Genomic DNA, 7,915 nt, shown 5'->3' with positions numbered 1-7,915 from the left:
TTATCTTTTTCTTCCTCCCCCTCCTCCCCCTCTTTCTCTCTCTCTCTCTTCTTTCCTGCTTTTTCTTTCATTCTTTCTTCTTTTCTTTCATCATCATCTTCTTCTTTTTTCTTTTTTTAACCATGAGATGATACGGTTAAATAGTTGATGTTGGGAATTTATGTGGAGATCTGGATCAGAAAAAAAGTACTTTCCTGTGAGTAAGGTAGTGAGGTATTCTTCAGTTTATCACATACTCCAAAAACATGAGAGAGCTTACCAAAGGTTTTGTAACTGAAGAATCTATTACAAGTAATCAGGTTTATATTTAGCTTTGAATTATACATATACACACCCACATATACACACACATATTTTTAAGTAACTTAGATCATCAACATTTCAATCTGAGCATTATATGGGTAGTATTGTCTCTATCTTCATTGTCTTGTGAGATAACTAGTGATGTATTTCCCTAACACGAGGAGATCAATTAAAGCAACTGACATTCTGCAAATTTGAATCAATGATGCCACTCAATCCAATCAACCAAAGTAAAGAAAGCTAATTCATGCTTTTCTTAGAGCCAGAAGAAAAAACTGGCAAAAGTGTTGTCTCATTGTGTCCCTTTTCCCCTTAAATCAATTATCAGTTATCACAGGAAAGAAAAGAGAGAAGACTGTGCATTATGTTCAGGCTCACAACTCAAAGAGTAAACGAACAAAAAATTATTAAAATAATTATCAAGAGAAAATTTCTCAAGAGGGAAAAACACACATTATAAAACCTTTCGCTGCAGTGAGCATCAGAATGGGAGATGCCAATTGGATTAAACTGCTAGAACAAAACTCATGTTTTGTTTTAATCCCACTGTCTTGAATGTAGACTAGTCATGGAGCTCCCTTTCCACAGGTCTACATGGGATGTTCAGATCTGTCCTCATCAATGTCACAGACATTTCAAGAGAACTTTTGAAACCAAATGGAGGGTGACACAGAATTCCTTGGGGATAATGGGAGTGTCCAGAGCACTTTCTTATTTAAAGATCAGTGAAAAAAACTCAATAGCACGGGAACTAAAAGGGAAATGTGAAGCATAATGGTGTTTGGTCAGTGGAGCAAAGGATTTGTAGTGTATTTTAATTGTACTTTTTACATATCTCGTAGCACAATTCAGGCTTAGAAAGGATTTCAATTGTGATTTTGTTGGCTTAGTTTTGACCTGAACAAAATGGATTTGCTGTTTTTATTTCTTTCTTCTTTTTATTCAAATGGCACACCCTTTTGTTTTGAGAAATCTGGTTGTTATCTCTTAGTTAGAACCATGCCTAATGAAGTACTCTTTCCAATTTTGGATGTTTAATCATGCTGGATTCTTACCAAAGACCTCAAAAGAGACTAAACTTGAAGGACAAAGATGATTGTCAAGTGGGCTATGGATTAGGGTCTGATTTTTTGGTGAGAGTTCAATGAACATAATTTAGACTAAGGTAGATTCAGTAAGGCAGAAAGGAAGAAATGAAGCATGCTTCTGGGGAATAAACGGCAAAGCAAACACACAGAAACTCACTCAAGAAGATGCCAGTGAGCAACTCAGAACCAATATCTGATATATAATTTAAGACCCAAAGGTCACTTAATATCAACTCTATTGCTGCACTCACACACCCAAGGAATCTGGCTAGCAATTGTTTTAGAGCTTGCCTTAGCTGTTTTTATTTCATGCAAGTGTTTCTCTGGAGGCACAAAAAATGTTAAGAGTAAAACTGGATTTATCGAAGGCATTTGCTTGGATTAATTAGGTAATAAAAGCATTTTCAAATTGCTAATTTACTAAGCAGTGTCACCGGAATGCTGAATTACTTTACTTTTATTATGATGATCAAGAGAGATAAATGCAGGCCTAGCCACAAAACCAAAGCAAAGAGAGGCAGGAGTCATTCTTTGCATAATTACTGGCATTTGTCATCCTTTCCTTGAAAAGGGGATCATCAGTTTTTCTAAGGATTGTTTTCTTTGCTTCAGAGTCTTTTCTTCAGAACTGTTTATCATCCACATTGTCCTCATTTACCCAGCAACACATACTGTACTAACGTACTTTCCATTAGTGAATTTAATGAATTTAATTTTGGTTCAAAATGTTAATTAAAGTGTGCCTTTCATTCTTATAAGGATGAAACTTAAAAAACTCTTGGTTCTCAAGTGTTAGGTGAAATTACTAAAAGCAGAGTTGAAAAACAGGGTTAATCAATGTGAAATGTAGTATCATGAGCCTGGGATAGATATTGATAATGAATTATAATTAATTTTCCATCTCTTTTAAGAAAACAAAGGCTCAAAAATCACGGCTTCCATAACTTTGCCTATACTTAGGAGAAATTTTGGAAGAAAAACGTGTAAGAAGAAACAGAAAAGAAGTTTGCCTCAAAGAGAGAAACAAAGAAAAAGCTACCAGACCAGATATTCCCTCATCAGAAAATGAATGAGAATTTTATTATCTCTTGGCTTTAAAAAAAATTCTGTCCTTTGCCAGATCTGAAAATGCTGCCAACCTGGAAGAAAAAGAACCCATTTTTCTAAACAACCTCATTTAGTAATTTCCATGAAATTGACATTTTAGAACTATGACAAAAAGCCAAATTAAAACTCAGGGGTTCCTAATCCCTAAATTCTGAGTCCGTTTTAAGAAATACCTAAAATACACTTTAAAACGAACCAATTAATATAATTACCGTGGGTTTAAATAACACATACACACTGGATTTGTTTCTGTAAAACACAGCTGTTCTGTTATTTACATTTTGCTATTTTTTAAATTAGAAATATGGCTTTATATATTGTACATATATGTAAAGTAACTTTTTAAAAAGAGTGAATCTGTTGTCTTCTGCCATCATTACATTAAAAAAAAAAAAACCCAACCACCCTACAGCCAATTAACTTGGAAATCTTATATTCAAGCTTCTGAATATTACTGCGGTTGTAGCAAGGGAAGCAGCACATCCAGGTAGTTAATGTAGAAGAAACAGGGCACAGGCAGCAACTTGCATCCCCTGGCAATTCACATGGTAATTTCTTCGCTTCCACTCTCAGGCTCACTCCACCTTGCTTCACCAACCCCCCTCCCCCTAAGACACGAGGCACCCTCTGGGCCACGGAAGGTGCCATGCGGGGAGACGCCGGAAGAGCGGGGGCAGAGTGCACGGTTCCCACACCCTTAGCCGCGGGCGGCCGCCGCGGGCCCCAGGAGTGGGGAACCGGTTGGGAGAGCGGGGTTGGGGGCGGACCCCAGGGCCGCACCCCTGGTCCCCCCCATCCCCTTTCTACCGCCACAGACCCAAGAACCCGAAATCTGCGGCACGAGGCGCGGCGCCCGCAGCCCCCGGCTGGGCCCCGGCGGGGATGGGCGGGCAGGGGGCGGAGCGCAGCGCAGCGCGGGGCGGCGGGAAAGGGGCGGAGAGGATAGCTTGGGCTCTGGCGGGCCGCGGGACTGGCAGAACCTGCGGGCGAGGTGGGTGGCTCGCCAGCCGGGACGAAGGGAAATGAGGACCACCGCTCCGGGGCGCGAGTAGGCGCGTGGAGTCCGGGGGCTCAGCCGCCGCGCCTCTTCCTCCTGCAGCTGGAGACTGCAACAGCGGCGGGTGCACCGGCAGCAGCGACGACCCTGCGCGCAGGTGGGCACCCCCGAGCGCGGCGCTCTGCCCGCTCCCCCGGCCACCGCGGGCCGGACGCCCGCTCTTCCAGGCCACTGCGCTTGGGGGCGAGGGCTGGGTAGGTCCAGGGGCAGAAGGAAGGTGCACGGCCCCGTGGTGGGCGCGCTTCTGCGCGCGCGCTGTGGTAGGTGGGAAAGAGGTGCAGAAAAGCTGCCTCCCTTAGGGTTCACTCCCTCGGTTCCACTGTCCCCACCCCACCCCTTCTGAGGAGCTGGGCACACCGGTGGGGCTTTGGAAAACTGCGATCTCCTACCCGCCCCGCAGTATCGGTGGCGTGTGCAGGTTGCCCTTCTCTTCACAGTCCACACCCAGCAACCATCAGGACGCCCCCTGCTCCCGGCCCGAAGACTGTAGGGACCATGGGAGGAGAGAGTGGTGGCTGGACCGGTCGGGGCGTGTGCGCGGAAGGCTGGAGTTGCTTGAGTATTGTCTGCCGGGGCCGGCGCTTGCGTCAGGGTGCTCCCTCGCGCTTTCGGGGGTAGGGAATGGGTTTGCTGAACTTACTCTGAGGGCTGATTCTGCACATGCCCTTGGCGCCTTGTGCATGTTTGGACAAGGGTTTAATGGAGGCACGTGGGAGCAGTATCGATCTCTGGCGGGTCCCCAAAGACCCTCTTGGGATAGTCCAGAGCGTGTTCGGGGTTGAGAGCGAAAGGAGAGTGTTCCGTGTGAATGTGCGTCCTAGGGAGGAGGAGGACAGTGTCTCAAGGAGACTTGATTTTCTTTTATTTGCTGCAATTCCGTAAACCAAATCATGCTTTCGAGGCGTTAAAGTAAATTACTGGTAAGTGGGGCGGATCTCTGCTGGGGATAAAGAAGCTCCCGGGTTTGCGGGGTAGCGGGCCTGGCTGGCGTGCACGCTCGGTGGCTTTTGGCGCTGTCTCGCCTAGGTAGTGGGGGTGGAGGTGGTGGTGCTTGTGTCTTTGGCTTAAGGTGCTGGAGCCGGGCTTACTTGTCCTAGGTAGACTGTGGGACTTGGAGGAGGTAAAAAAGCTTCGCGGCGCGGTTATTCGCAATTAACTCCAGAAATCTCAGTGTGTGTCTGTCGGTCGGTCTCTCTCTGTCTCTTTCTCTCTCTCTCTCTCTCTGTCTCTGTCTCTCTCTCTCTCTCTCTCTCACACACACACACACACACACACACACACACACACACACTCGCACGTCTCATGGCTGCTTGGATTTGCCGATAGTTGTTCATGAATTTTTATTCCTGTTTGTTCATTTCCTGACTTTTTTTTTTTTTTTTTTTTGGAAAAAGGACCTACCTGTATTAAAATCCGTGGGGTTTCAGAAAGACCCTTCCGCAGTCATTCATATTCAAATCAAGGATAGGGCATTTTGATGAAAATACCCCACCAAACTGCTGTTTGGATTGGACAAAACTGTAGTTCAGGTTAGAATTACTGTTATTTTAAATAGACATCTTACAACCTTGTGGTAAAGTAACCTTAGCCTGAATCGCCCCTGATCTTTCTTTGTGTCAATTTACAGAATTCTGAATTACAGATGAACAAAGCGGTGAAGTTTTCTTTTAATTTTAAACGACAGGTCTTGAAATGGCTGTAAGTTGAGTTCTGCGACTCCATCTCTTTAATGATCGGCTCAGAGTGGTGTATAGTTGATGATCTGAGACTTACATATGTTTCAATTTCTAATCAAATAATTTATCATACCATTGGGGAGAAGGACGCCTTAGGAATTTTCAACACAGAGGAGAAAGAACATTTTTGTCTTTTGGAGCAAATGTTTTGCCACTTTTTCCCCAGATGTCCCCGTTAGATGCCTAGAAAAGATGCATTGTTGACGAATAATACATGATTTATTTCTCTTTTATGTCTACAGGTGGCAGTGTAGAAGCCAGACCGGGAGCTTCCAGAAGTGGTTTCTGAAAGAGTCAAATGTACATGAGTAAGCAAGCACAGGAATCTGAAAAACCACAGGTATGTAGGACAATTAATCCACCTATCTAGCTTTATAATTATTGCATTCCAGTAGTACTAACCCATTTGCTCTTATGTTCAATATTTTGACACTTATATAAATTTCTATGAAGTGAAATGTATTTTGAGGTAACCTCCGAGGAGAAGCAGGGTCTAATCTATTTCTGACAATGTATTTAAATAAAAATTCTGCATGTCATTATATTACATGACTTTTTACTGTTCTAAAAGAGTTGTTTTTCCATTGTGACCATGTGGCTTTGCATTTAACCAGTTGTTTGATATCTGCTTTTCAAAACACTTTTCCTGAAACTACATAAAACTGCCAATTGTTCTGAATAATTTCATTTGAGATAATGTTAACAGAGTCACCTGCATGAACCAATAACAATATCAGCTTAAAAATTTTTTTTATTTTTTGGCTGGGTGTGGTGGCTCACGCCTGTAATCCCAGCACTTTGGGAGGCCGAGGCGGGCGGATCACGAGGTCAGGAGATCGAGACCATCCTGGCTAACACGGTGAAACCCCGTCTCTACTAAAAATACAAAAAATTAGCCGGGCGTGGTGGCGGGCGCCTGTAGTCCCAGCTACTCGGGAGGCTGAGGCAGGAGAATGGCGTGAACCCGGGAGGTGGAGCTTGGAGTGAGCCAAGATCGCGCCACTGCACTCCAGCCTGGGTAACAGAGTGAGACTTCGTCTCAAAAAAAAAAAAAAATTTTTTTTTTTTTTTTTTTTTTTTTTTGGTGACAGGGTTTGGCTTTGTTACCCAGGTGGAGGGCAGTGGCAGGATCTCAGCTCACTACAACCTCCATCTCCTACATCCTACATCTCCTACATCTCCATCTCACTACAACCTCCCACAACACGCCGGGGTTGTTTTTGTATTTTTTGTAGAGACAGGGTTTTGCCATATTGTCCAGGCTGGTCTTTAACTCCTGGGCTCAAGCGATCTGCCTGCCCTGGCCTCCCACAGTGTTAGGACTACAGGCATGAGCCACTGCACCCAGCCAAGTATCAGCTTTTAATAAAACTGCATCTCACTGTTGAATTGACGTAACACCGATCAGAATACAGATGCATTAGGAGGCTTCTTTTAAACCAAGCCCTTCTGCTATTAACCTTCTGATGATTTTTCTCCTACTACCTTGCTGTTTTTACAGGCCCACTAATTTGCCTGCTTGACTAAAATAAGGACGAGTTATGTGCTGATGAGAGACATGTTTGTAATGTTATTCGTTGTGACACAGTTCAAAAGAATTTGCCTTTGATTCTCACTAAAATGTAAAGTTTTGCATATTAAGATCCTTTTTCAACAACTGAGCAACTCTTTATAATGAAGGGCAGAAGACGCCAAAGGGAAGAAAATATTTACCTTTGTGGGCTTTTACTTTCTTTCCTGGGAATGGTAGGCCATAGCTATTGGTATGTTTTTTTGTTGTTGTTGTTGTTGTTGTTGTTGTTTTTTGAGAAGGAGTCTCTGTCGCCCAGGCTGTAGTGTAGTGGCATGATCTCGACTCACTGCAACCTTCACCTCGGGTTCAAGCGATTCCCCTGCCCCAGCCTCCTGAGTGGCTGAGATTACAGGCACCCACCACCAGGCCCGGCTAATTTTTGTATTTTTAGTAGAGATGGGGTTTCACCATGTTGGTAAGGCTGGTCTCCAACTCCTGACCTCGGGTGATCCTCCCGCCTCGGTCTCCCAAAGCGCTGGGATTACAGGCATGAGCCAGCGCCTACCACCGCTATTGGTACTTTCACACGGATGCTAAAGTTATTGTGCTGGCCGTGTTAAGGGTCAGGCATCAAAATGGCCGCTCAAGAGAATGAAGCTTTCTCTTTGTGCAGATGCAACGGGTGGGATGGGGTGCACAATTATCACAGTGCTGGTTGTGGTGTTACCTCGACATTCTGCCTTACAGCTGAGGAGGGATTTGTTTCGTCCCTGCTAATGAAGGTGTTAAATAAACTTGGATGCTGTTATTGAAGCTTAAAAAATAAATGGAAGCTGGGTGCGATGGCTCAAGCCTGGAATCCCAGCACTTTGAGAGACCGAGATGGGAGGATTGCTTGAGCTCAGGAGTTCAAGACCAGCCTAGACAACATGGCAACACCCTGTCTCTACAAAAAATTACAAAAAGTAGCCAGGCGTGGTGATGTGCACCTGTAGCTATGTGTACCTGTAGTCCCACACAGTCGGGAGGCTGAGGTGGGAGCCTCCCTTGAGCCTGGCAGGTCAAGGCTGTGATGAGCCACGATCATGCCACTGCACTCCAGCCTGGGTGT

General features: G+C 44.6%; 1 long non-coding RNA gene across 1 annotated transcript; it reads left to right on the top strand.

Moving 5' to 3' along the window:
- Positions 1-3,515: 3,515 nt before the first annotated feature.
- On the top strand, positions 3,516-6,932 carry LINC02595 (long intergenic non-protein coding RNA 2595). The gene is made up of 3 exons (NR_125365.1): positions 3,516-3,652; positions 5,534-5,631; positions 6,793-6,932. It is a non-coding gene; the product is annotated as a long intergenic non-protein coding RNA 2595 (long non-coding RNA).
- Positions 6,933-7,915: the final 983 nt, after the last annotated feature.

The sequence above is a fragment of the Homo sapiens genome, chromosome X (genome assembly GCF_000001405.40).
Source record: "Homo sapiens chromosome X, GRCh38.p14 Primary Assembly".
NCBI classification, from domain to species: Eukaryota; Metazoa; Chordata; class Mammalia; order Primates; family Hominidae; genus Homo; species Homo sapiens.
The sequence above is the reverse complement of the archived record's forward strand: the minus strand, read 5'-3'. Positions and strand labels throughout refer to the sequence as shown.